This window comes from Homo sapiens, chromosome 10 (genome assembly GCF_000001405.40).
Source record: "Homo sapiens chromosome 10, GRCh38.p14 Primary Assembly".
In the NCBI taxonomy this organism is placed as follows: Eukaryota; Metazoa; Chordata; class Mammalia; order Primates; family Hominidae; genus Homo; species Homo sapiens.
Window position 1 is genome coordinate 48,433,969 of NC_000010.11, and position 27,670 is coordinate 48,461,638.

The window sequence follows — 27,670 nt, forward strand, 5'->3', positions numbered from 1 at the left end:
TTAGTGTTCATGTGGTTCAGAAGTACTTAGCCTAGTGCATGAGTTACCTTTAACTATCCTTCATCCCCCAGCATAAGTCATTCCTGTCCCCTTCCTAAACCAATCCCCTTGAGAGGATTTCTGTCTCGAGCTCAGGTATTCCTGTTAACTTTTTAAAATCCAGGAAATGCTTGTTAGGTAATACTTTCGGCAAAGGAAACTGTTTGCTCTTACTATATTTAATAAATCCATATTTCTGCTTATCAAGTATTAGAGTAGAAATAAGAAGACCCAAGTTTACTTAACTAGGCCACTTGAGTGACAGTGGCATGTCCCATAACCTCGTGTAAAGTGGGGCAGTTGAATTGAGGTTTCTTCCTGTTAAACTTAATTTTATTCCTTGTCTTGGCATTTGCTTTAAAACAAGATGTGCCAGAAGTACATCTTGTTTCAAATTTGAATCATTTGAATTTTTCCTTTTTAGTGAGAAGCTGTAAAGACTTTTTTGTAGGGAAGTAGCTTTTAACTTTTGTAGTTACACAGTCCTTTAAGATCCTCTGTCCAAAAAAAGGCATTACAGACAGTTTTGCATGTATTATCAGCAGTATTCACACATACCCTGAAGCCCATTCATGGATCTTGCTGCAGGACCATTTCTAAATGTGGTTCAGATGTAAAATTCTTGTCTTAAACTGAAAAACACATTCATTGAAAGGATAGGACTCCACGATTCTAGACATTTTCAGAATTCTCACCTCATAGCTGTCAATGAAGAGTGTTTTTAAGTTAGTGTGTTGGATATCATTTGCGATTATTTTTAGTGAGCCTTCGAAACCCAAGAGAAAAAAATTACCACTGGAGGCAGTCAGTGCAGTGCAAGTAGCTTGATCTGCAGCTGTCTGCAACTGATTTGCTGTTTTGTTTCTCATAGCACAGGTGCAGCAGTGATCAATGGCTCTCAGCATCCATCATCATCGTCGTCTGTCAATGATGTGTCTTCAATGTCAACAGATCCGACTTTGGCCTCTGATACAGACAGCAGTCTAGAAGCAGCAGCTGGGCCTCTGGGCTGCTGTAGATGACTACTTGGGCCATCGGGGGGTGGGAGGGATGGGGAGTCGGTTAGTCATTGATAGAACTACTTTGAAAACAATTCAGTGGTCTTATTTTTGGGTGATTTTTCAAAAAATGTAGAATTCATTTTGTAGTAAAGTAGTTTATTTTTTTTAATTTCAAGTGATGTAATTTAAAACCTAAGTTGTGTTTCAAAACAGCAACAAAACTGTATTGTATTTTTTTTGCTGTAATTAACTGTATAATGTAAACCTAATTATTTTATCATGGTTTAAATTTTTTGCATATTTGCTTTATCTTATGCTGCTGATTTTTTTAACTGAATTTGTAAGATTTTGTTTATCAAAGCAACTATTATGTGGTGACTTGCCTATATCATGAATTATTTAAGATTTTTATAGTTTTTTTTAATTAGAATTTATTTCAGATGTTTTGTTCATGATACTATCCTTCAGGGTTATGTGCTTATCAATGAAATAACCCCAGAGGAGTGAGGGAAAATAACTTGTAGCCAGTTATATTCAGGAATAACTACTGTAAATGATGAACGTGTTAGGAGACCTCCAATATTTGCTACTTGCCAATCCTAATTTAGTTACAAGAATTGGTAGGCAATCCTACTTAATTTTGGCAAAAGCCCCGTCATCTAAATGGCAGAATAACTCAGAGCATGTCTTTGAAGATGCTGGGCGTCTACCACCACCTTATGTCCCCACCCTACCCAACAAAAATAAGTAAAAAGAATATGGTGTATTCTACAAATTTGTGGCATGCTCAAAGTTTATGATCACATAAAGGCAAGAGGATACTTCATGAATAATACATTTCAATGCAAATAAACAGATGGTTCACTTCTACTAGCTATGAGCCTGTTTTTGTATACACTGAGTTAATCTACTCAGGCTGTAGGTCCCAGCAATGTTCTAGAGTCTGGTCTTTCCCTTTCCTGCAGCTTCGGGTCCTTGGACCTTTCCTGTTTCCTATTACTTGGAGTGTCTGTCAGTTGAGCACCAGTTGTTCTGGTGTTTCATTTGATTCTACTTGTAGCATAATCATTTATACGAGCTATTGGGAGGTTCCAAACCCTACCTAGATTTGTGTAGGTGATGTATCAAATGAGCAATATACCGTTCATCTGAAAATAGTAGCACACAGCCATATATAGGATATCATTTTCTAAGGACTGTTTCTTCACATTGAGCAGAGCAGGCATAAATGGTGGTTATTTAGTCTAAGTCTTTTATTTTTTTATACCTGATTTTCAACATAACACGCAATGTGGATGTCGAGTAGTGTTAAGAATGGTGCTGCTCCTGACAAGTGTATGTTAACTGTTTACATTTTCTATCTGTAGAATTATTTCTCTATTACTGAACTTTTCCTAAGTAAAATGTCTTTGAAGTCTCGTTATTTCTGAAATACGTTGTCTGTAATAGACCCAGGCACCTTTTAAATTATCTCTGGAACAAGAGGGATTTCATGTAATGAACTAGGAAATGCATACTCACATAAGCAACAAGGTTCTAGGCAGAAAGCCCCTTGGAATTTGTGACCAACAGGAGCAAGAACAGGTGCGGCTCAACATGCAATGTCTGAAAATTTGCTTGGCATTTTATTCATATATTTAGTGCAAAATTATTTTTGAGTGAGATATTTTACATCACTGTTAATGTGCAATATTTAAGATTAAAATACATTAGCTTTTTTATATACTTTGAAGTAGCAAGTTTGTTTTCGATGGCTTAGAGTCATGATTTCCAGCTTCCCAGCCTTTTTATCAGTCCCTTTTCTAATACAACAAGGTGCATTAATTTGATTAGGCAAATTAGAGTTCTAAGACACTTCTTGAATTGTAGACAGAAAATATTGGATTCACAATTTCAGCAGAAATTTGAGAATGAGTGTGTTTATATTAATTTCACAATTAGCTGTATTTTCTGTAGCATAGATTATGTCACTGTTGCACTTTCACAGCAGACATGCTTTCAGAAGGTTCTCATATTTTATGTTTGATTGCTGATAAGCCATCTCTATTGATACAGATTTTGGTTAAGTAAGGAAAACCAGGTGTGTGTCTGTATCATTTATTGTAAATGCCAGCTGCCACTTGCCAACCATCATGTTCAGTTCAATTCAAAGAAAACAAACTCTCATTACTTAGTGTAAACTAAAATACTTAACAAATTATATCCTAAAAACAAGGTCTCTTTGTTAAATGTTGCATGCCCTAGGTTTTAAATTACTACATCCAAATACAGTTTTCGTCTTAAATTTGTTAAGCTAAATATATGTTGGTTCTTTTTATTTTGGAATCCTTTAAGCATCTTAAACATTTTTTTTTTGAAGAGAAGTTACAAATAACATTTCTATCAGGTAGTACTTGTATGAAACCACCTTTCTTATTCTATAATTTTGATTTTTCAATTTTATATACTTAATATACTCACTGTCTTACTATCAGAAAGTTATTTTGACCAAGATTTTTATTATCTTCATAGATTCAGAAAGAGATGCTAATTCTGTACCAATGTCTTCCTGGTTACTATTCTCTTCCCTCTAATATATACTGGCCATTTGTAAAACCATTGTGTTGTTGGGATCACTTAGTTATACTATACGCAGATAGAGCATCTCAACTCTGTCATAGTGTTTGCTGAACAGTTTTCAGTGTCATGCACCTTTGGCTGCTAATTGTTCCTGACGTGCACTCTTCCGAGTTGGTAAAGGCACAGTGTGTTCATGCCAGACTTCTAAGAGAAACACCAGCCTCTTAAATCAGAAGCCTACACACAACCCCCTTAACAATCCAAAGAAGCTTGATGGTGTGCAAAGAAGCATCCTGCCAGCCTTGTCATTGTTCTGTTCTATGCTAATCCTGCTGTGTTGTCTAAAAGATGGAGGGAAGAGGACATCAGTGTCTGATAGTGAAATCATCAGCAGGAAAGTGAAGCTCTTTCCTTGGTTACAGATAAGACTTGGTTTACACTATTGGCCAGTATCTGCTAAACATATGAAGACTTAACTATTCAGTGTTGCCTAGGCATTCGCCTGCACAACATTTTGAGGTTAGAACATAGAATATTTTCAGAAATACTGTTGTAGTTTGTGAGTGTTGTTCATTAGTTACACATTAGCTATAGAGTGGATGCATGAAGCCCCATGACACCAGTAAACTTCTCTTACCAGTAGGTAAACCAAACACCATTCTGTCATTAGCAGCCCTCTTAAATGTTGCCTCTCCGTATCCTGTTGCATTTTTGTGTGCATTGTGTTTCTACTGATCTCTCTTAGGTTTTTACGGAATCAAAGGAAACTAATTTTTCCTTAATAGCAAGAAAGATGAAGAGGTAAAGGGCATTGAAGCAGAAATGTATAGTTTGGGGTACGATTAGAAAACTCGTAAGGAAAACAGAAGTCCTAATTTCAAACTGACTGCTCTTCGTTAAGTGCTCTTAAGGAGAGTCTAGTAACAGTAACACTTTCTGGCCATTTCTAGTTTAGATTCTCTTCGTTACTGAAACTTTTGAGAAATATTACCTGTGGATTAATTTTGCACAATGTTCTATTCTCATAATGACTTACAAATTAAACTAGGTTTTTATTGAACTACCTCACACTAATTTTCTATGCTTTCCCAAGTAAGCTGTTGCCCTGTTAGATCTTTACTGAGTGAATTATAAATGTGTGTTAAATACTTTCTAGCCAATGTTGACACAATACCAGTAAGTATGTAAAGTATATACCTTACATCAGTAAGAGACACGTGTAAAATCTTTGACTGTATGTCTTGCAAAATTGTGCTCGTTGACATTATTACTGTTTTTGTAAGTAGAAACCTGCTCGTGATATCGGTCCATTTACATTTTACAAAAGGAGTAAATCTTAGTAAAAATTTTACGAAGAAATAAATTACTTTTGTAGGCCCAATATTTGGTATATTTTTGAGAAGCTGTTAATCTTTTAGCTGAATAATGAAGTTAGACTGAATTACGTGTCTCCCTGGACTGTGACATCTATTTTCTCATTACAGTTTATCCTGGTCAGCAGGGTGTCACACCTGGAAACCTGAGTATGATAGCTGACATTTGCTTTTCTCCCTCTGCGATGTCATTCCTCCTCCATTCCTCTCCTTCCCTGTGTTCCGTTCCCTCTCCTTTCCTCTAGACAAAACAAAATGGGGCACTTTTTAGGGAATGCTGAGATCATTATTGTGGTTTTTCATCATTCATGCCCTAGTCATTAAACATGCACCACTGGAATGTAAACAATGTTATCTAGTATGTCAATTGGTTATAATATTTTAAATAAAAAAGAAAAAAGTGGTATGAAAATTATGAAATTAAGAGTTTTTTCATTGAAAACAAAATCTGTTTGTGGTAAAGTTTTTCTTGGCAATTTTAGGATTGTCCGTGGATTGGGATAAAAGGGGTCTTGCTAGGGCCGGTTTCTTAGATTTGGATTTTGTACAGATTGTAAAGAGCCTAAATGATCACGCTGATTATCTGGTTGATCTGGTCTTGGATTTCTGGTGTTTGAAATTGCTGGATAAACTTTATCTAAAAAAGGAACTTTGCTTCAATGCCCTTAACCTAGTTCTTGGTAGACATATGAGAGAACAGCCATCGTGACCACTTGGCAAAAATAAGTACTTAAAATTGGGGTCTGTTTCAAAACAAGCAAGAGGTTTTAGCTTTGACTGTTTCCAACTTTTGCCATGCTTATTTCCTCTTTGCCTACGTTGGGTCTGCTGCTGTGTGGGAATACAGGGTCCCTGCAGTACCTTCCCAGCCACTGTAATGACGCCACTCCGTCTTGCACAGTTCCTGCTCCAAATGACCTTTGTACCGTGCTGTCTGCCCTCACCTGAACTCACACTGCCCTCCTCTGAGGAGCGGAGAGGAAGGGGCTGATCTTTTAGCTGCCCGCTGCTGCTGGATCAGCTGCGTGGCAGCTGAGCTGTTTCATCACCGTCATAGAGAGGCCTCCCAGGAGAAACGGTAGCAGAAGCAAGTGTCAGAATGTTGGGAATAAACTTGTTTTTACTTTTTTTCATTTTCACCAGTTGTAAAGTGGAATAATTCATCCTCGTTAATTTAGGTACTTTTTTTTTTTCTTTTTCAGTATTGTTCCTGAAAAGGTCTATTAACTTGATCTAAGTGAAGATTGATTTGTAGTGATTTTGTGGTTTAAGAAAAATTTTTTTAGCTGTTAATGGTTATATACCAGTATTTCTTTGGACTTCATTTGAAACCAAAAGATACTTCAAATATGCTTTGTAAATTTTAGGTTTCTGTCTAACATGTACTTTACTTAATTTCATCCATTAATGGAAGCATATAAGTGACATAGAAGTGTGCCAGAAGCTGGGAGTAGGAAATAGAAAACGGATGACAAGAGTCTTGAAATGGTGTATATGGAGGAACAAGGACCTGGCCACAGGGATTGATTAGAGGAAATGAGAGGAGTTTCACAAAGAAACTGTGTTTTGACCCTTGGCATAAAGAAGGTTTGGAGAAGAGTATTCCAGGCTGAAGGAAAGGCAAGCAGATTTAAGTGAGTGCATGGGCAAGCAGTGAGGAACGGCCTGGCATGGGTGTAGGTACAGGGAGAAATGGGAGAGAAGACTGACACGCTGGAGTTTGGAATTGAAACAAGCTGAGGATCAGACCTGAAAATATCAAGAATTGCCTTTATTTTGTAGGTGATAGGAACCCATGGTAGTTTCTGAGGCGGAAAAAAAGTATTATGACCTGACCCTTGTTTTAGGATGGTCACTGCCAAGAGAAGCAAGTGCAGTTAGGCTGGAGGTGTGGACATTGGTGACTGATGGCCAAAGATAGCCAGTTGAGAGAAGGGAAGAAAGGGACTCATTTAGATGTATTGCCATGACATAGGTGAAGTCGCCAAGCTTAGCGTTTGGACCTGGGGGAAGGCTGAGCCTAGCGATTGGGCAGCACACAAGAGATGGTGCAAGGAAAATACATGCAGGGTGTTTTGCAATTTGTACATCTCAGTTTGAAATGTCCATGACAGAATGTATGTCAGGTATGGTATCAACTCCAACTTACCGCTCCAGGAGTGGGAGGAAGGGAACAATTGGTTTGCTCCCTCACCTGCCTGTAGACCTCTCTAATTGTAGTTTCTTTTCTTGTGAGGTCTGTGTTGTTTGCTTGTATGGCCCTTGCACTATTTTTGTTAGTATCATTTTGTGGACAGAGGAAGATAGTGGAAAGATTCCTGTTGGATATACCACTTTAGAGTTAACCTAGAGAAGTGCAAGTGGGGCCTAGTTCAAGTGAGTGGAGAAGCAGGTAGTGAAAAGGACTGAAAACTTGGATGGAAATGTAAAGAAGAAATCATGACAGTGTCTTGAGAGAAGTGAGGGGTAGACTGAGGGATCAGAAGAGTTCAAAGGGAGAAACCAAAGGCATTTTTTTTTTTTTTTTTTGAGACAGAGTCTCGCTCTGTCACCCAGGCTGGAGTGCAGTGACGTGATCTCCGCTCACTGCAAACTCCGCCTCCCAGGTTCATGCCATTCTCCTGCCTCAGCCTCCCAAGTAGCTGGGACTACAGGTGCCCGCCACCACACCCGGCTAATTTTTTTGTATTTTTAGTAGAGACAGGGTTTCACCATGTTAGCCAGGATGGTCTCAATCTCCTGACCTCGTGATCCACCCACCTCAGCCTCCCAAAGTGCTGGGATTACAGGCGTGAGCCACCGCGCCCGGCCAGGCACATGTGTTTTTATGAGACAGGGTCCTGGAAAGGTTGGGGTCTACTGGGTCCTGCGGGTCCAGGTGAGTTTTGTCAAGATGGAGAATTTAGGTCACCTCGGACAAGTGTCAATCTGGCTGAGCCATGCCTCTTACTGTTACTTGACAGCATCCTGTGTTCTCATCTTCTCTTGATGCCTCACACTGGGATCCCCTGGATGGAAGAGCCTGTCCTACTGGAGATAATGCCTGGCAAGTAGGTGTTCCATAAATGGTGGGCTGGGTAAGCTAATGACTAGAGCGTATCCTTTACACCATTTCTGTCCTCTGAAAATGCAACATTCATGGCCCTCAAAGTGTGACATGAGTACACTGCATGCAGCGCTGTGATATTATAGTGATGTGAGCATGGGCTCCGGTGCCAAATACCCACATAGCATCCTGCCCTCACTGGCTGCCTCACTCCCTGCAAGTGCCTCAACTCTGGGGCTGTGCTTTGTCATCTGTCCTGTGGGAAGCCTAATGTCACCTGGCAGTGTTGCTGGGAGGATTTGGCGTGTGCATGCAGGGCAGGGGGTGGCAAGTGCTCGGTGAGTGCTGGCTGCCGCCATCATCCTGACTGGTACCAGGCTCGGCTCAGCACCCTGGTGTACAGGTTCGTCAAGTCAAGCATCTGTCTCTCATGTCTCCTGGCATGGCAGCTATGTCTCTAGGCAAACATACCCAGAAGAGTTTGATGTGAACCAAGTGCTGTTGTTTCCCTCGATTTGATGTGTCACAAGGAAAAGATATTCTAGAACCTGAAGCCCACCCCCACCCACCACCAGTGTGCAGCTGAACCAATGAACCCACGTGCTGACCCCGAGGCTCCCCATCCCCATGGCCACTGCCACAGCCACCACCAGGCCTGGGCCCAGAAAAGTGCTCTACTCCTCAGTCCCTTGTCTCCTTTTACCACAGACCCTGCCCCTTGTCTCCTTTTACCACAGTGGACAGACATTTATCAAAAGCTCACTGAAAGAAGGGAAAGAGGAAATAATTATAGAAAAACACGTCTCTACCAGGCATTTTGGGCCAGCTGCTGCTGGTTTACTAAACTGGTGAGCTTTTTAACCAGCTGTGGCCTGAGTGCAGGGGCTTGGGATTTATGAAACCATTGGGTTAAGACCCAATGCCCAGATAGCATAGAGATTTAGCTGTCTTGGAGTGGGGTCATCAAGCCAGCTTGTCACATGCGGCAGGGGCAGGATGCGCATCTGGGCAGGCGGGCTCTGGAGTCTTTGCTTGGAAACTGCTGTGTTCTGCTTGAGAAGCTTTATGGGAATAAAAACGTCTCCTGCACAAAAGCTGGGGGATGCTATGTAAGGTAATCATGTTTGGCATTTTTCAGGACTTCTCAAAGACCGCTGTGCATTCCTATGAACCTGCCTGCAGCTCTCTCCCTGTCATTTGGGTCATTCGCAGCAGTGTACAGACATGCTCAAGAGTTCCCATCTTTCAAAAGCTTTCTCTTTCCCCTTCCATTATCAAAATGGAAGTCAATTCATGTGAGTTAATGTAAAGCTCTCAAATGCTTTCCTATTTCCCTTAGAATAAAAATAACCTCTCACCATGGGCGATAGGCCCTCAGAGTATCTGGCCCCTGCTAGGCTTTTCATGACCCCATCCTACCCTACCCCACTTCTTCACAGACTGCAACACATTGTGAGACCCCTGTGCTCAAGTGTTGCGGGGCTTGCTTTGGGAGACAGAAGTAGTAGCAATGTGGCTGGTAGAAAAGGATGGCAATCCTGGTGCAAGTGGGGGTTCTTGGTGGAGGCAGGAGTAAGGAGACACAGCAGCAGTGTGTGGCAATGTCACAGCTGCTTAGCTAGGAACTCAAGACACCCGTGAGAGAATTACTTAGGATACTGGGAGGGCTCTGCAGGGGCCTGGGGTTCTGCATCAAAAGGAGAAGGAGAGAGTCCGGGAAATGTTGTTACTGACTCCATTTTTACCCACAGACCAGGGAAACATGGATATATGGGTTCCATTCCGAAATTCCTTCAGGAATAAGATTCATTCCTGGTCCATCACTCAAAAGCCAATTAAGACAAGGAATCTTCCTTTTCTTTCTATTTCTGTTTCTCACACACACATACCCATAAAATTGTATTTTAACTTTAAAGAACATGTGCATTCATTTGTTATTCTTTTAACATAAGACAACTCTTTGTTTTTTTAGTGAGACATTCACAATTTCCAGTATTTCTTTAAAGTCAAACACAAGTTTTACGACACTGTTGAAGTATTCTGAGAGCAGAATCCCAGATTCTTCCCATTTCTCGCTATTGCATGTTTCACTCATCCATGCTTAATTTGACAATATTTTTTAGCAACGTGCCTCTACTGAGTCTGTCTAAAGCATTCTAGGGTTTCGATGAATCAATTCCCTACCTTTTCATGTTCATAATTCATGTAATTCATGAGTCTACTTCATATTAAATGATGTAATTACAATAACAAGTACAATGGGAATCTGTCAGTTTGGGACCAGGTTCAGCAAATGTAACTCAATTGAGAGAAGTGGGTAGTGGTGGGGATACTAGAGCCCCCGCGACAGGTCAGCCTCTGTCACTCAGTGTGCCTGACAGTCAAGTCAGATGTTTTACAGATAAGATGCCCAGTGCTGGTTACACAGAGATTGGAGAACAGAACTGAATAATCATGCCAATTCATTTTGAGATAAGAATGCCATTTGCAGATCCTACTTAGCCAACAGGTGGCAGATGTGGCTCAGGCATTCATGAGCTCCTATCCCTACTGGGGACTCAGCAGGAGCCTAAGCCTTTGCCAGGATTAATGGTTGAGACAGACAGACAAGCTTCCTTTCATCATGGGAAACCCATTTCAGTCTCCTCTGCTCCTTTGATAGCCTGGTGGCATTTTCTCTCCAGGTCAAAAATCAGCAGAATTCCATAGCTGTGGCGAGAAAACTCAACAGGGTCATCAGGACGCACTGCTGTTCCCACCCAATTTCTCCAAGCCTCCGTTTCTCCTCTGAATATGGATAATAGGGCCAATTTTCTACTTCACTGCATTGCTGTGAGGACTCAAAGTCACCTCCTATTCTCTTCTCTCTCCTTGAGTAGAGGGGAGGGTAGCATCTCAACACCAGGGAAAAATCCCATCACCCAGACGGCTGGCTCGCGTGTCAGTGGCCGAGCAAAGACAGACGCCACTCTCCCCAGCCCCTCCTGAGCTCCGGCATCCAGACCTTGATGCTGCTGAGGGCCCTGAGCAGGTGCCCGCCTCCTGGTGGACGAGCCCCTGGTAGCTGCCTGGAGACAATGGGTAGCTGGCCACACTGTGGGAGCTGCCCTGCCTGCCTCACCCTGCGGGCCTGCCTTCCTGGCAGGAAGCCAGCATTTCCTGGGAGCACTGAGCCCCTGGCATTTAAAGCATCAGATGTGGGCAACATTTATACCTGACTCTAGATGGAGCTCGTTGGGCCTGAGTGACATTTCTAGAGGCTGTGGTCAGAAACTGGGCGCTCTGGTGACCACTGCTCCCTGAACAAACCCCTGCAGGTTACTGCTCAGGGGCAGCAAGGGGCCAGCCACACATCAGGACACCGTGAGGGGAGCAGGTGAAGACAGTGGTCTGACACTGCTGGTCCCAGAGGCGCTGCTGTGCTGCCTCCTGAAGCACAGTCCAGGAGCTCCAGCTGGGCCTGGCCTGGGTGCCCTGTGGGTGGGAAAGGCTTTCTGGAGGGATTTGCCCTAATGGAGCCTTCAAGTCTGTGGATAAGCCAGAGTAGGGGGGTGAACAGCAGGGAAGCGGGGGCTGGAAGGGAGCTGGGCAGGCGCCCAGAGTGAGGCATAGGCACCTGGAGTACGGTGAACAGACGTTTCCCATGGCCTTGGCTCAGCCCTCCTGTAGAGTGGCCACACTTGCCCACACCTCGCCCAAGCACAGCATCTGTGCTGGGTGCCCACTCAGGCTCTGGCCCTGGAGCAGAGCTAGGGCCATGGTGGAAAGCCCAGGGGACCTCCCAAGACAGAAACTAGCTGCAGAGGTCCAGATGGCTACGGGGCGGGGGGGAGTAAAGAAAGGCATCCCACCTGGAACATGCAGACGAGACAGCTGAAAGCACAAGGCTGTTGCCCCTTGGGGGGCTTCACGTCCCACTTCACAATGCCTGTGCTATTCCACCCAGGGGCATACCTCAGGGGGCTCCTAGCCCTTGGAGAAACAGGAGTGGTCCTGTATTGTGTCCTGTATTGCGAGGCATGAAAAATGAGCCAGGTAACAAGGCACCATGCTTTGTGAGCACATTTAATAAAGAAAGCTGACTGTTCCCGGTGGCTGCCTGGATCCTGGGCGCCCTCCATTTCTGTGGCCATGAAGGATATTTCCTGGGTAAGGGCTAAGCGCTACTCTTGGTACCGTCCCCTTCTGACCCTCACCAGGAACTGCATGGTTGGAGCAGCATCTGATCCCACCTGGAGTGTGTGGGGTCCCAAAAGTCCCCACAGTCCCCACAGAGGTATCAGGATCTCTCTCTCTCCAGCTGGCTCCAGAGCGCCTGGCTGCTCCAGAGATACAGACGCTTCTAACTCCATACAAGGCTGGAGACCAGCAGACGTGGTACAGAAGTGAGCTCTGCCATTCCTTTTACTTTGGGGCCCTGGCACCTTTTGCCCCAACAGTCAAGCTTCCTAGGGTCGAAAAAAACTCCTCCATTTCCCTCTGCAACAGCTGGTTCCTCCTCTCCGCATCCTCCCGCGCCCGTTCAGAGTTCCGCAGCTTTATTTCCAGCATGATGTATTTTTTCTTTTCCTGGTCCAGTTCTTCTTCTAACCGGGACATTCGTTTTCTCAGGTCAGCACTCCCTTCTTCGATTCTGAAAAGTCAAGGAGAGATGCTGTTTGAGACTCTGCGGGCCAGGTTCACTGTCCCATGGGTATACCATGCTTGTGCTCACTGTGGGTTGAGGGGTCAGGCCAAGCCATGGCGGCAGGAGGAAACCCTGGCTCATCTGCTCCTCACAAGAACCCCAGTACTTCACCCATGAGCAAATTGCCCCCTGCCATAGCTCCCCTAGCTCCTCTGGGCCTGTGATCCCGAAATGCCAACACAATGATCCATGCCTTCGGTGCCTCCCTGGGTCCGCATTTGCCCCTCCAGTGCAGTATGGGATCCCTGCCAGCTGGTAGGAACAGTACAGGCCCCTGCATGGGGAGGGTTGGGACTCGGACTGTCCCCTGGCCTTTGCTCCTGTGCTGTGGCCTCCCCTCCCACAGCTCCCTGCAGCTCCCCACACTGTCCCCATGATCCAGCCACACGTGGTGACCCACAGAAGATCCTGTGGGGTAGTCACTTCCCTTCCTGCTCTCCCGTCATGTTCAGCTCAAGCGCCCCCTCCATGATGCTACTTCCTGTGATCCTCCCCAGCAGGTCACAATGGTGCTCCTCTGTGCCACCAGAGCCTATACCACACGCTTCCATGCAGGCTCATGCTGCAGTGTGCCAAGGTTGGCATGGCCATCTTTTTGACCAGACAACCAGCTTCTGTCTTTCCGAAGGGACACACCTGAGCCCAGCCCCTGGGAACATATGCTGGATTTTAATGCCCAGCCTGGTGACCTCTGAGCCACATGGCTGTGGACAGGACACAAGCCACAGTGAAATGCAGAGGGTAACTGCTCCTCAGAGCACTGGTAACCATGGACTGGAACATGCCAGGGGCCAGCACAGCACCTGGTACGTGGTGCATGATGAATAAACACGGATTCCTCAACCCACCAAAACGAAGCCTCCATCCTCATCACTGAGCTTGAAGCATGGCCTGAGCCCTCCCTACCAGGATCACAGACAGCTGTCAGAGAGAAGCCACCCACCTCCCCACTGCTGCCCCTGGCTCGGGCCTGGACCTCCCCTCTTCCTTCTCTGTCAGGCTCAAGACTCCAAGCCCCAACTACACGCTGATGACCCTGCACCATTTCATCAGCATCTCTGACTTAAAGGGTCCTGACCCTCATCTCCAGACCACTCTTCCGCAGCCCTGGTGCACTCTTGGTGAACACCTTCCCTCAGCTGCTCAGCTGAACAATGATGTCCTCCCCTAAGTCCATTCTTTTTCTCGGTCCCATATCTGATCAGTTAGCAAAACCTTTTGGCTCTACCTTCAAAATATGCTCAGCACCTGGCCGCTTCCCCCACCTCCACCTGCTGCCCCATAGGGCCACACCCCCCATAGGTCAGGCCTAGACCCCCACACCTCCTAACTGGTCTGTTCTGCCCTTGTCCCCTGGCAAGCTCTGCTCGGCATGGCACCCAGGTGCACCTGTCAAAGTGCCCAATGTGCCAAGACCCTCCAGCGGCTTCTCACTTCATTCTCATCTCACTCCACGAAAAACCAGAGCATTGCCCAGGCCAAAAGGCCCCACCCATTGCCCCCTCCCCACACATCTCCAGTCCCCAGCCCCTGACTCTCCCCCACTACAGGGGTCTTGGGGTCAGTGCTGGCTGCAGCTCTGGGGTCTCCTTCCCAGGGCCCTCCAACCTTCTACCCTGAGGCTCCTCTCCGCTCCCCTCCATGCTGCTCTATGTTCCCCTCCTTCATCTCCCTTTTAACACACCGTGTATTTTTAAAAATGTATCGTGCTTATGGTCTTTGTCTCCCTGCAACCCAAATAAGAATGGGGACAGAGATTTTGATCAGTTTTCACCCCAACTGTGGCCACCTGCACAGCATCTGGTACTTCACAGAAAACAGGTTCTCTTTTGGGAATGCACGAAGGAAGGCTGACTTCCCAGCAGGGCCCTGGGGAGGGGCTCTGACCAGAGTCCTGGGAGCCAGGACAAGGCCAGCCTCACCCCACCCCCCACCCGATGGCCCATACTTCCAGAGAACAGGACACACATTCCCCAATCACCTGCTGGACAGGACAGGTGCTAATGCCCTCACCTTCCTTCCTGTGCTCAGAGACCTTCCTCACTCTAGACCCTCCCTCTAACCAAGACAACGACCCAGACCACTCTGCTAGCGAGTACAGTCCCTCCACAAGGGCTACCACTGCTATCCCTTTTCCTCTGGGAACCTCATCTTACCTCCAGCCACCAGGCAGGAGTCAATGCGAGCAGCAAAGTTTCCCGAGCGCTCTCATCCACTGTGAGTCACTTAATACTCAGGACAAATGGGTGAGGTCACTGGGGCCCAAAGATCCTGCCAGGGACACTCAGCCAATCCCTGGTGGAGCTGGGACTAGAATCCAAGTAGTCTGACCTGGAGTCAAAGAGCCCTGCATCTCCCTTGAGAAACCAGGCCTCAGAGCAGGCCAGAGGAGCTCCAGGCACTCAGCACACAACTGGCGCAGCTGGTCCAGCCCAGCCTTCTGCATGGACAGCCTTCTGTATGGTAAGAGTTCCCATGTACCCTGTAGTTTGGTCTGTGAGCTCATCTGCAGCAGATAGCATCTTCTACTATATTTCTGGAGGCCCTTGGGTTCTACTGATGCTATTTCCTTTCTCGGCTCCATCCTATGGGTCCTTCCAGCCCTGGCTCAGGCACTGCCTGCTGTGACTTCCCCCATGGCAGAGGCCTCTGCCCTCAAGGTCCCTCTCCTTCTCTTCCTTTTGCAGACATGGTGCCTGTACATGCCTGGCACTCTCCATCACCCAGGGAACAGCTGTCAGCAGAGCAAAAGGGCAAGGGCTGCCATTCCAGCTCCCAGTGGAAATCACAGGCTCAGAGTGGGCAGCAGGAATGCCTTCCACCTCCATCCACTGCCTCTAATGGATAAAGGAATTCCCTGCTAGTGGGTGGGACCCAGGTGAACAGGTCGGCCAGCTAACGGGGACCTGCAGCCAGAGGGACCAAGGAGTCTGAGATGCTGAGGGAAACGCCCTGCGCTGGAGAACCTGGTCTCCAGGAGCTGAGGTTCCTCACTGCAGAGGGCAACCCCGGTCCTCATGGGAGGCTGGAACTCTGGCCCTCTGTTAGTGAGATTGTAAGCCTCAGGGTGCAGCACAACCATCCTGTGACAAGGGCGGACACGAGGGCTTGGTTCAGCAGGGAAACTGGATTCTGATCCCATCAAGGAAGGGGTCCTCACTTCCAGCCTGGCTGACCTGGGGCCTGGGCACTTCCTGGCACTCAGCATCCAGGCTATGAGCCCTTGTACTGGGACAAGCCTGGGACCTGCCTCCAGGGGCCGCCCCCTCCCTGGCTGCAGACTGCACACTGACTCTGTTTCCACCCCTGCAGCAAAGGTCCCCGGCAGGCTGGGCAGGCATTCCCACTTGCGTGGAGTCAGCAGGCCTCTGCAGCGCTGACTGCGTGCCAGACTGACTGCGTGCCAGACTGACTGTGTGCCAAGTCTGCCAGTCCTAGGGCTTTCCCAGAGCTAGGATTCCCCTCTCTGAGGCTGGCTTCCAGGGCCAGCGGCCCAGAGGTTAGGGGCCGACGCCCATGTGCCAAGAGCACGGCTCTCCCTGCAGGCTCCGCCCCGTCACAGGAGGCTCCACGGGGCAGCAAGTTACCTTTTCACACTCCTCTCGTACTCAGTCCGCTGGCGGCACAGCTCGGCCCTGAGCTCAGTGACCAGCCCCTGTAAGGCCTCGGAGCGGCGCGCGTGTTCCCGGGTGGGGCTGTCCGGCTCGCTGGGCTCGCTGTTGCTGGCACCCGCGCCCGCCTCGTCCATGCTGTGGTCCAGGTCCAGGGACTTGGGGTCCTCGCTGCTGCTGGGGAGCGGGGAGGGCTCCAGGGCCCAGTCGGTGTGCAGGGAACTGCGGGCAGACGAGTCGCTGGCGCGGCAGGCCGTGCAGCTGCTGAGTGAGCCCCCCACCGACGACTCGCTGGACGAGGCCCCGGACCACGCCATACTGGCCACGCTGGGTATGCCGGGGACCAGGCCCGGCGCGGGCACATTGTCGTAGGTGGAGAGTCTCTGCACGGAGCCCGAGTCCTTGAGCCGGTCTCCCGACGAGGCCCGGCGGTGTCCGCGCAGGGAGGACAGCCCGTTCATAAGCCAGTTCCCGCCGGAGGAGATGATGGGCACCTCCAGGGATGAGCCGCCCCCCTTCGGGCTTCCCGATAGGGACCTCGGCTGCCGGAAGGAGGACTTCCAACTGGGCAGGGTCTGCACCTTCTTCCCAGGGCTGCACCGGCTCCCCGGCCCCGTGGGGGCTGTTCTGGAGAGCACCGCCACGGCCGCCCCGTCCAGGGAAGAGGTCCTGTGCGCGGGCAGGCCGGGGCCGCCGGGCTCTCCTTGGCTGTCCCTGGTGACCTCCTCGGAGCCCCACCCCACTGCGCATTGCAGGCCCCCGCGCGGGGAGGTGGGCCCTTCCGGGACCGGTGCCGTGAAGAGCTGGCTGTGTTTGCGGATGAGGACGGTCATCAGGTGCTGGACGAGGGAAGTGCCTGCCGGGAAGAGAGGCGGAGAAGGGCCTTGCTGCCAGCCACTCGGCCCAGGCTCGCTCTGCCAGTCATGGAGAAGCTGCAGCTTCGTGGGAGCTGGCCCTGTCCCCAGAGCCAGGCCGCCCCTCAAGGGAGCCTTCATCCGCCCAGAGGAAAGGACCACACACCCTCCAACTCCAGGCAGGACAGCAGGATGGGGCCGCAGAACCGCCTTCCTCAGGCACAGAGCCGCAAGCAGGGAGGAAGCACTGTGCCTGCGCTCACGCCCTCCAGCTGGGGTGGGGTGAGGAAGCAGGCACCAAGGCTGCACGGTGAGCAGGTGGCAGGTTGGAACTGGAACCTGGGACCTGAGATGCCAGAACTCTCTCGGCTGCCCCACGTCACCCCTCTGTGCTGCTGACAACTGCCATGCCTGAATGTCCACACTCTGGGAGCATAGGGCTCTGGGACAGGGAATAGAGCCATCTTTCCTGTGTGGGGGCACACACATACAATTGCACACACAATGCACCCCGCCCACCCCCTAAAATACCCCCCACAATCACACGTACAATGCACCCCATCCACCCCCAAAGTCCCACACACACACACAACTGGACAATGCACCCACCCAGCCTCCCCAAATCCCCCAACACACAATCGCACATACAATGCCCACTCCCGAAAATCCCACACACATAAAATTACACACACAATGCACTCTACCCAGTTTCCCCAAAGCCCCTACACACACACAAGTGAACACACAAATCCCCTACCCAGCCTCCCCAAATCCCCCCATACAGAATCGCACAATGAACCCCACCCACTGCCCAAAATCCGCCACACACAATTGCACACACAATGCACCCTCCGCAGCCTCCCCAAATTCCCCCATACACAACTGCACACATAGTGCACCCTGCTCACCCCCCAGAATCCCACATACATATAATCTCGCACACACACAATCCCCCGTGTCTAGGCCAAGGCCCCTGAGATGCAGCCCCCAGTCCTGGGGACTCAGTTCCTACGGTGGTGGGGTGGGGGCCTGCAGCGGAGGTGGGCAGTGCAGGAAGGACCAGGGCATCTATCCAGCTGCCTCATTCCCTCCTGCCACCCTCACCACAAAGGCCCGACGCTAGGAGGTCCCCCGGTAGGAGGGAGGGCTGAGTGCCAGGGTGGACTCTCCCACTGAAGTTGACTAGGAATCCTGGAAGAAGTCAAGGAAGGAATTCTGAGGCCAAGAACCTAGGTGAAGCAGGAACTCCATGAAGCAGGCAGGGCAGGCCTCCTCCCTCAAGCATCTGTACCACCAGGCAGGTAGGAGCTTGTGTTTTCCTGGCCTCAAGGGGCCCTGGGGTGGGAGACCCAGCCAGGGCTGACCAAAGTGCGGACTTGAGCAAAAGCACTCCGCCACGTCCCTCAACATGGGATAAGGGCAAGAACAGCCTCAGCTGTGGGCTTCCTGTCTGAGCAGCACGTCTCTCATGCATACTCCACTGGGGACAGTGTTCCATGGGCCCTATGAGGTGGGCTGTCTTTTCTATGGCAGCCTACACCTGTGCCCTTTGCTAAGTCTGGCTGACTGGCCTCTGGTGAGTCCCCTCGCCTCTCTTGGCCTCAGTTTCCTCATCTGTAAAGTGGGGGCGATTACCACAGCACAGGCTGGTTGTAAAGCCTGAAATGAGATGATACAAACAAAGCACTTGGTAGAAGCTTACTGAAAGCGGCTGCTGTTGCTGCTATTTTTAATCACTTATTGTTATTTATCATAGAGAAATTCTCCAGGGTTTGCAAAGCTGACATCCAGGAACCTATGACAATTGCTTAATTGTAAAAGAAAAGCAAACATGTCTGTGTTCAAGGGCAAAAGTGCTGACCTCTCCCATCCCTCCAGCCTCTTCCATCCACAGAAACCCCTGGCTATTCTAATTGCACCCAGTGACCTGCTGCTGCCCATCGCAGGGCAAAGTTCCTTTTTTATCTTATAGCTGAACCTCATGGGGGTCGGGGGTGAGGTCTGCAGAAGTTCCTGCCAAGTCCCCAGAGATGGAGATGTGCCACCTGAGCCACCCCTCCTGCTGGCCTGGCCCTGGGCTGGGATGGTTCCAAGGACTTGCCGTGGACCAAGATGAGCCCAGACCCCGGCAGCACCCAGGGCCACCAGGTACACCTCCCACTTACCTTCCATGATGGTTACTGGGTCCTCTACCTGTGGCCGCAGAATGTTAGGTCCAAAAACGGTTGCCAGATTCTGGACACTCATCTTGTTGACATTTGAGTATGCCTGAACTTCATCCAGAAACCTGCAAAGTAAGGAAGCAGCAGTCATCAAAGAAGCAAGTTGTGATGCCCAGTCTCCTGTGTGCGGCCTGGACGCACCGCCACACCCCTGCTGAGCCCTGCTGCCTGTGGGCTTTTGCCCACTGGGTGTAGCCTGCCTCTGCCAGGCTCGATGAGGGAAGGCTTCCCCTGGGGCCCAAGAGGGCCATCAGAAGTAAAAGTCACTGGGACAAGGGCCCACCGCTATTTGTGTGAAAGGAGGACAAGACTCTGCAAATTGTAGTGGGCACAAATTCTGGGAAGTCCCAGACCCCAGTCAGCGCCGCCCCTGCATTCCCCTTCTCAGTGTCTAGGATGGGGATACATGAAGGGTTGGGGTCAAGGGGCAGATGCCGGGGGGACAGGATGGCAAGAGGCACCCAGGAGGGACAGAGGGTATGTCCCTTCTGGAATTATCTACCCAGGTCTGTTTAAAACCAGCTGCTCCCATGGGACTGTAAGCTTCGTGAACTCAGGGTCTGTGCTTTTCCACTCCCTGCTTCGTCCACGCTGGGTTGAGGCTGTGCAGGGTGGGGAATGACCCGGGCCCCCCTCTGACAAGGAAGAGTTGCGTGTCTCGCTGTGGGGTTGGGGGAGCGTGGAGCCAGTGCAGGAAAGTGTGGTTCCCTCCTGCCAAGCCGCTTACTTGCAGATGTATCTGAGCAGGTTGTAATTTGCCTGAGGAAGGTTGCTCACTTGTTTAGCCAACTCCAGAGTGCCCTTAGGAATGAAGAACAGAATTTCAAACACCGGCAATGAGGGCCCTGACTGTTCTCTGACTGCGAGGAGGGGTGGGCAAAGAGAAGGGAGGTGGGGGCTACGGCAGCCCAGCCCCAACAGACCAGAGGGCTCCACCACCTCCACCTCCCCTCAAGGAGTGGCCAGGGCCCAGCTGTGACCTCCTGGGAAGCTAACTTGCTTCCAAGGAGCTGGTGTGAGGGGTGAGCCTCTACAGGGCCCGTGGAGGAATGTCAGGGCCAGCACTCAGCTCACTTATCAAGACACAAATATTTGCCAGATAGTGAGCCCTCATCTCCCACATGGCCGCAGGGAAGGCAAACAGTCCTTCCCTGGCCCTGAGCCACCTGGGGCTGCAGACCAGCACCTGCACGGGTGGGGACGGGAGGGCTGGCTCATCTGTCCTGGGAGCCAGCTCAAATTCTTTTGGGAAGGAAGCAAGATATAAATAAAAGATGTCCTGGTTTCTGAGCCTGTGACGGGCCTGAGTGGCCTGAGTCGGGTGTGGGGAGTGTGAGCACCTACTGGTGTGACAGCCAGAGCTGGGCACACCGGACCCACCCCTCCCAGGGACCAAGGCCGCAGACAGGTATGGCTCCAGACAGCAGGATTCCCCAGCCCTCCCCGACCTGAGCAGGATGCCCTGGCCCCTCCCCCACCCAAGCAGGATGCTCCAGGCCCCCACCACACCCCCAACACAGCAGGCCTCCACAGGATCCATGTGCCATGAAAATTCATGAAAAGTCAGAGTCTGTGTCCTGAGTCTACAGGCTGCCACCCAGCCAGCCCATCTCCCAGGAGCTATCCCCAGGAGCCACTGACCTCCCCCTCGTCCTTGGTGAGCAGCTGGGCGCAGCTGAGGAAGTCCTCGTACCTGGCGAAGGGGACCACGGGCTCGGGGAGCTCCCGCAGGTACAGCTTCAGCAGGGAGGCCACCGTGTGCACGTCTGTTGTGCTGTGGGGGGGAAGAGGACAGGTGTGTGAGGCCTGGGATGCCAGGGGACTTCAGGGGTGACTGGTACGCCCTGACGCCAAGGGGCAGCCTCTGGTCTCAGGTGCATTCTTGGGCGCACTGGGGGCTGCATCTGCGGCCAGCTGCCCTGGTCAAGGAAAGGCCAGTGCTGCTTCTGGGAGCAGTGGATAGAGCTGGGGCAGGGACGACTAAGTATCCATGGCCAGGAGCTCCAGCTCAGGGACCACCCATCATGCCTAGGCACCTGCTCAGAATCCCTGAGTCTCATGTCTGTGTCAGTCCGTCCAGAACCTGTCCTGCGTAGACTGCGTAGGACTCCAGGAACTGTGAAGCCACAGGGCCCTGCAGGGCACAGCTGCTCCACCCTAGCAGCTGCCCTGGGCCAGAGGAATCAAGTGTGATGCAGGTCAGGTTGCACAGGGGAGGGCCCTGGGACATGGGCCAGGGAGCCCCTTCCACAGGCCTGGTGGCCATCCCAAGGTCCCCTGCAAGACGATGTGGGAGCTGCCTGCTCTGCGGTAGGAACAGCTATCCTGCAGGCCCTCCATAGGTGCTGCCAACCCCCAGCCCGAGCTTGCCCTCTCCACTGCACTTGACTTTGGCTGGAGTGGGAGGAGCTGCATCAAAGGCGCCCACAATGCAGGGCTGCTGGCTCCTTGTTGGGGAGCAGGTATCCGGGGACCAACAGCAGGAGCAGGTCGGAGGTCAGGCCCTTTCCTCTCTTCCTGTCCACAGTGGTGACACCTAGGCTTCTAAGCTCATCACCCCCTCTCCAGTGCCCCAGGAGTCCACTCCAGGCCTCAGTCTCCCGCTCTGGCTCGGAGCTGCCAAGGCAGAAGTAGACCAGTTGTGGATGGTGGTGGCAATGGGCCTGGCATAGTCCTTCCCTGGGTCCTGTGTGGGGTCTGCAGTTCAGGTCCTAAACGAGAGCCTTGGCATCTCCTCCGAGCTTGCGTTCCAAGCCGTATATGGGCCCCAGGTTGTTCATCTGCTTGTCTAGAACCATGGACTTAAACCCTGGGCTGCATTTCCCTCAGGAAAGATGAGACGGGGCCAGGAGACTGTGGCTGTGCCATTATGCTATCACCTGATCCCGGATGAATCCCAGGCTAGGCTCACTGAGATAAATACCTTCTGGCCCTGACATTTGGGATTCTGGGGTTCCATGTATCCATATGCACCCCAAATCCATATACCTGGGGCCCCTCCTTGCCTGAGGCTCAGTGACTCTTGGTCTGGCTGGATCCAGGCAGCCCCCATCCCACCCTCCTTCCATCTCCAGCCAGGCATGCTGCTATCACACCCTCCTCGGCCTTCTCCCGGGCCATGTTCCTGGCCAACTGCCCTGGGTACCCAGGCTTGAGCCCAGCGGCCCCTTCCCCACTGGGAGCCCGTGGCTTCAGTGGCAGCCTGAGTGGAGCGCAAGAGACTGGGGGAAGGGCAGGAGGCAGGGAAGTGTGGTTGGCAGCCAGCCCGTATGTCTTCCCCTTTTCTGCAGCTGGGGGGATGGGAGCATTTCTGCCCTGGGTGAGTGGACACAGAGCCACCCCTCCTCTGCAGACCTGCCCGGCTGCATCCCTGCCCCGCAGGGTCCTGCTGCTTGGCCCTGCCTGACCCCCTATCCGCTCAGTACCTGAGCTCTTACTTCCTTTCCTCGTCCCTCCCTCCCTCCCTCCCTCCTTCCCCACTGCAGTGCCTTTCCTCCAACAGCTGTCACCAGGCCTTTTCTTGAGACTTTTCCCTAAACTGCTGTCCCCTTCCCCCCTCCAACAAGCACCCAAGGAGAACTCTGTACAGCCCGTGGTCCTGTGGGCGCCTCCCCAGCCTGTGGGCCTCCCAGCATGCGGCGACATTAGCGCAGGCGGAGGGTGGGGGCAGGGGTGGGGCAGAAAGGGCAGCAGCTGGTCAGGGGACGAGGTGCCTGCCCTGGGGACAAAGAGGCCCTGGTGGTCAGTGCAGCCCGCAGCAAGGTGACCCTCCATCTGCAGGTTCCTCGTCACCTCTCTGTACCCAGGGAACCCCCCGCCCACGCCAACACCGGCATCTATGCAGAACACGCCATGCCTCCAGCCTGGTCCTGACTCGCCTCACTCCCCTAGAGTCCGTTTCTCATCACCCATCCCCACTTCCTCGACCTGCCCCCCAGCCGGGCCGCCTGCTTCACCCCACCTGGGTGTCCGCAGGGCTCCTCCCTGAGCAGCCCAGCCCTGCCATCTGCAGCACCCTGGGAGGTTCCCTACCACTAGGCCCGGGACTGGTGTCCCTGGTGTTTACTTGTTATCTGTCAAGACCCACCCCCCTTAGAATTTCTAATGCATGTGGGTGCCCCTCCACCCCTAGGCCTCCCAGTGCTCCCTCCCTCAAAGGATAGCAGCTGAGGGAGTAAGGAGAGCCTGGCGGCCAGGAGTCCATGCAGCCCTAGGCTCCGGCCCACAGGAGGCTGTCCTCAGAGCTCAGCAGCAGGGTGGCAACCCGGGAGACTGACAGCCCAGTGCCCAGGGGACACTGTGCTGGGAAGGGGCAAGTATGGGACAGCTCCAGGCACTGAGGCTTCCAGGCCTGGTGAGGCTTTAGCAGAAGAGAAGCCCAGGACCTGGGGCTAAAGGGGACCTTCTTATAGAGATGAGCAGGAAAGTGAGGAGGGGGCTTCCTGCGGAAGGGGCCAGGACAGAAGCCAACACCCCAGCAGGCAGGCAGGCTATGGCCTTGGGGAGAGAGCTCCATCCCGGGACCCTCTGTTGGAAGTGGGTGAGGAGGAGACCCTCTGTTGGGGGTGGGTAGGGAGGGGGGACCTTCTGTTGGGGTTGGGTGGGAAGGGGGGCCTCCCTCAGGGGTGGGTGGGGAGGGCCCCTCTGTGGGTACAGCTGCAGAGCCAGAGGAGCTGCCATGGAAATGGCAGAAAGTGGGAAGGATGGCCTCAGATACCCCAGGAGGAGTTTCTAAAGGGAGAGGAAACCAAAGCCCAGGGCCACCGTGGCAGTATGGGGGTCACTGCTGAGATGGGGGTGGAGGGACAAGGCCAACATGCCCACCATGGAGATGGCCCTCCTGACACAATTCCAGAAGCAGGGTAGAAGCAGCCAGAGAGGGAGAAGGCAGACAGGGGAGGGCCTCCAAGACATAGGGAAGGCTGCCCCAGGCTGCTGGGAGGCCGAGAGTCAGGTCTGCATGGAACCCACCCTAGGGTGCCCAGCTGCCTCTCAAGGGGGCTTCAGCAGGCAGGCCAGGTGGAGAAAGGAGGCTGAGCATGCCAGGAACCACACCTTGGGAGAGCAGGTGTGCCCAGGTGGAGACCCCCCCAGCAGGATGGGAGAAGCTTGGCAGTGTGGGTGAGGCGCAGACGGCCTGTGCCACTCCAGGGAGCCCCAGCAGAGTTTGAGTAGGGGAGTGGCAAGGTCTGATCTGTGTCTGCAGAAGCCCCTCAGGTAGCATCAGGCACTAGGGCAGAGCATCTGATCCTGGGGAGCTTCCAAAAGTCTCGGCTCCCAGGCCTTACCCAGGTGACATTATTTGAAGCAATCTGCAACCCTAACGCTGAGACACAGGATGGAAGAGGCCTGGCTGGCTGAGGTTCAGAATGGACGACAAGCTCACTGAGCGTCAACACTGGGATGGAGCTTCACAAAGCTCCAGAGGAAGGGTCCCCCGTACCTCCCTGGGTGGAGCACCGCTAGGGAACAGTGGTCAGTCCTGGACTCCACATCTAAGGAGAGGAGCTGACACCCTCCCCTGGCTGCAGTGACGGGCCTGGGAAAGAGCTGAGGGGCTGAGTGTTCTGCCCCCAGAGGAGAAGCCCTGGGAGGCCAGGGCTGCCTGCAGGTCCTGGTGGGCCCATCCTGGGGCAGATCCAAGAAGACAGGGCATAAGCCCCATGGAGGGTAGTTTTTCCTGATGTAGAGAGAACTCTATGAAAAAACTGCCCCATAATGGGTGGGGGCACTGTCAGGGGAAACAGAATCCCCAAACGGCCCTAGGCTGGGGGTATAGTTGGCTCCACCCAGGGGCATCCAGGGCCTGGGTAAGCCCCCATGATGGGTAGGATGGACATGGCCCCGGCCCCAGAGCAGATGGAGGAGACTCGCTCTCCTGTCCCCAGAACCCAAAAGGAGGGGAGCCGAGCTGCTGTGCCATCTTGCCATTGATAGAGCCTGGGGGTAGGTCACCGGAGGAAGCACGGCCAAGAGACAGACCCCGCAGAAGGCCTGGGGTCCGGATGCAGCTGCGCCTGGTCAGTCCTCACATGGGAGCCAGCAGAGGTCCTTTTCTTCCTGCCTGGGTCAGGTTTATTAGCATGTGCAGGGGAGGCAGGCTGTGTGGATGTGAGCTGGCCTCGTGCATGGCAGGCATCCATCCTGAGAGGGGACCCCGGGCTGGCGGAGTGAGGGTGTGCCCTACACTCTGCCCACTAGGAGGGCTGGCCCACCATCCTGTCGCTAGCCCACCCCTGCCCACTGGAGCTGGTGTCCTGGGCAGGAGCCCCTGCAGGAGGAATGGACAAATGGCTCCACCTTACCCCCGATCACAAGCTCACCTGTCAAACAGTGGCTTCTCCCCACAGTCGAAGGAATCCTGCAGGTCCCTCACCAGGTTGGCCTGGCCTGGCATGCGGAACAGCCCCTCCTCAGTGAGCCCGCGCTCCCGGATGAAGTCCACACACTGCTCCACCAGCAGGGGCGCCAGGCGGGGGCCATACTTCCGCTCGTGGTGGACTGTTTCCTCTAGGCGCTGCCCAAAGATCCCTGAGCACAGAGAGGAGCTAGTCACACCCTCCACCACCCAGCTCAGTGTTGGGTGCTCAGGACAATGGAGGGCAGGCGCACTGTTAGGGCTAAAGGTGGCTCCTCCTCAGGAAGCAAATTACACACTGGGAGGATGCATACCAGAAGGCTGTGCCCTGGCCGCCCGGACACATGCTGGGAGGATGCACACCAGGAGGCTGGGCCCTGGGCTGCCTGTGGACAGACAGCAGGAGGGAGCAGTGAGATGGTGGTGTGACCTGGCCATGGAGCTTGCCCAAGCCAGGAGCAAATGGCCCTTGGGAGCGTTCATTATGCCTGTCATTGATTGGTTTTGCAGTCATTCCAAATGAGAAGCCATCCAGTGCCCATCAACAGCAGATCTCCTGTGTTCTATTCTTACCATGGAACACAGTGCAGCAATGAGAATAAATGAGGCACAGCTCACTGGACAAGACAGATGACATAGTAATGTGAAAACCATAGTCGTGACTCAGCATCAATCATTATTAGGAAAATGCAAATCCAAACCACTATCTGATACCACCTCACACCCACTAGGATGGCTACTATCAAAAGATCAGATAGTAACAAGTGTTGGCAAGGATGTGGAGAAACTGGAACCCTTCCTTGTGCACTGCTGGCAGGATGATAAGATGGTGTAGTTGCTGTGGAAAACAGTATGGCAGTTCCTCAAAAAATTAAAACCAGAATTACCAATAATCCCTCCCCTGGGTATATACCTAAAAGAATTAAAAGCAAGGTCTCAAAGAGATACTTGCACACCCATGTTCACAGCAGCATTATTCACAGTAGCTGAAATGCGGAAGCAAGCCATGTGTCCATCAATGAATGGAGTACCAAGACGTGGTATTTGCATACAGTAGAACTTGATTCAGCCTTAAGCCTGAATTCCCTTAAAAAGGAGGGAAATTCAGACAAGTGATAAAATATGGGTGAACCTGAGAACATTATGTGAAGTAAATCATTCACAAAAGGACAAATACTGTGTTATTCCCCTTATATGAAGAACCTGGAGTATTCAAATTCACAGACAGAAAGTAGAATGGTGGCTGCAAGGAGCTGGGGACAGGGGAGATGGCAAGTTAGAATTGAATGGGCACAGAGTCTCAGCTTTGCAAGATGGAAAGTGTTCTGGAGATGGATAGTGCTGATGGTTGCACGATAATTGAAATGAATGTAATGCTGCTGAACTGTGTGCTTTAAAAATGAAGACAGGAAATTTTATGCTAAGTGTATTTTATGAAATGTTTTAAAAATTAGAAGACAAAAAAAATCATCAGAAACAAAAGAAGCCAAACCCCAGAGTGCACACTGCATGACTCCATGTATGTAAAGTTAAAAACAGGTCAAACGCATCTGTGCTGTTAGGCCGGGACATGGTTCCCTTGGTGGGTCAGTGACTGGAAGGGGCTCAAAGGCTTCTGGGGTCCTGGTAACACTGTGTCTCTCCCCCAGCACTGCTTACCCAGTTATGTTCCTCTTGAGAAAATTCACTGAACTGTACACTTATGACTTGTATGCTTTTCTGCATGTTACTCTTAAATAACATTAGCAAAAAGAAAGAAAAGAAATCAGAGAGAGAATGATCTAAAACAATACATGACAAGACACCAAATGAGGAATAGAGGGAGAGAGGAAGGAGGCAGAGGAACTTCTGAGAAAATCTATGAAAACTAAATATATCACTAGGCTAAGAGGTTCCTGGCAGCCCAGGCAAAGAAGGGAA

General features: G+C 51.4%; 2 protein-coding genes across 60 annotated transcripts in view, besides 6 other annotated features; one reads left to right on the forward strand and one right to left on the reverse strand.

Annotated features, from left to right (window-relative positions):
* Positions 1 to 5,392, forward strand: part of MAPK8 (mitogen-activated protein kinase 8) — a 132,684-nt gene extending 127,292 nt beyond the window's left edge. For 13 of the 26 annotated variants that reach the window (NR_136583.2, NR_136585.2, XM_047425482.1 and 10 more), the window contains one exon: positions 911 to 5,392. Coding sequence is in view for 23 of the 26 variants with exons in the window: in XM_047425482.1 (XP_047281438.1) it covers positions 911 to 927 (17 nt within the window). In the remaining 3 variants the exon portion in view is untranslated. The remainder of the gene's footprint in view (positions 1 to 910) is intronic. The other 13 variants (NR_136584.2, XM_047425480.1, NM_139049.4 and 10 more) reach the window with 1 other exon arrangement.
* The window catches only part of ARHGAP22 (Rho GTPase activating protein 22), a 226,435-nt gene that overhangs the window by 4,138 nt on the left and 194,627 nt on the right, over positions 1 to 27,670 (reverse strand). For 20 of the 34 annotated variants that reach the window (NM_001347738.2, XM_011540003.2, XM_011540006.3 and 17 more), the window contains 6 exons: positions 25,716 to 25,923; positions 21,034 to 21,166; positions 20,120 to 20,193; positions 19,336 to 19,457; positions 16,293 to 17,172; positions 12,068 to 12,651 (listed from right to left, as the gene is read on the reverse strand). In NM_001347738.2, the coding sequence (NP_001334667.1) occupies positions 12,423 to 12,651; positions 16,293 to 17,172; positions 19,336 to 19,457; positions 20,120 to 20,193; positions 21,034 to 21,166; positions 25,716 to 25,923 (1,646 nt within the window). In that variant the 3' untranslated portion in view covers positions 12,068 to 12,422. Of the gene's footprint in view, positions 1 to 12,067; positions 12,652 to 16,292; positions 17,640 to 19,335; positions 19,458 to 20,119; positions 20,194 to 21,033; positions 21,167 to 25,715; positions 25,924 to 27,670 lie in introns of those variants that run through there. The other 14 variants (XM_024448100.2, XM_011540013.4, XM_017016476.2 and 11 more) reach the window with 10 other exon arrangements.
* Positions 5,718 to 6,012: a silencer, noted in NCBI's record as "tiled region #2186; K562 Repressive non-DNase unmatched - State 14:Gen5'". NCBI's record gives its function as "represses a minimal TATA promoter and a strong SV40 promoter by Sharpr-MPRA in K562 cells {active_cell/tissue: K562}" and the evidence as "EXISTENCE:reporter gene assay evidence [ECO:0000049][PMID:27701403]".
* Positions 5,718 to 6,012: an enhancer, noted in NCBI's record as "tiled region #2186; HepG2 Activating DNase matched - State 4:PromP". NCBI's record gives its function as "activates a minimal TATA promoter and a strong SV40 promoter by Sharpr-MPRA in HepG2 cells {active_cell/tissue: HepG2}" and the evidence as "EXISTENCE:reporter gene assay evidence [ECO:0000049][PMID:27701403]".
* Positions 10,358 to 10,652: a silencer, noted in NCBI's record as "tiled region #5880; HepG2 Repressive non-DNase unmatched - State 13:Ctcf, and K562 Repressive DNase matched - State 25:Art". NCBI's record gives its function as "represses a minimal TATA promoter and a strong SV40 promoter by Sharpr-MPRA in HepG2 and K562 cells {active_cell/tissue: HepG2 | K562}" and the evidence as "EXISTENCE:reporter gene assay evidence [ECO:0000049][PMID:27701403]".
* Positions 11,200 to 12,101: an enhancer, noted in NCBI's record as "H3K27ac-H3K4me1 hESC enhancer chr10:49653211-49654112 (GRCh37/hg19 assembly coordinates)". NCBI's record gives its function as "activates a minimal SCP1, AML or CMV promoter by ChIP-STARR-seq in naive H9 embryonic stem cells {active_cell/tissue: H9 hESC(naive)}" and the evidence as "EXISTENCE:reporter gene assay evidence [ECO:0000049][PMID:30033119]".
* Positions 20,076 to 21,053: an enhancer, noted in NCBI's record as "H3K27ac-H3K4me1 hESC enhancer chr10:49662087-49663064 (GRCh37/hg19 assembly coordinates)". NCBI's record gives its function as "activates a minimal SCP1, AML or CMV promoter by ChIP-STARR-seq in primed H9 embryonic stem cells {active_cell/tissue: H9 hESC(primed)}" and the evidence as "EXISTENCE:reporter gene assay evidence [ECO:0000049][PMID:30033119]".
* Positions 26,046 to 26,548: an enhancer, noted in NCBI's record as "H3K4me1 hESC enhancer chr10:49668057-49668559 (GRCh37/hg19 assembly coordinates)". NCBI's record gives its function as "activates a minimal SCP1, AML or CMV promoter by ChIP-STARR-seq in naive H9 embryonic stem cells {active_cell/tissue: H9 hESC(naive)}" and the evidence as "EXISTENCE:reporter gene assay evidence [ECO:0000049][PMID:30033119]".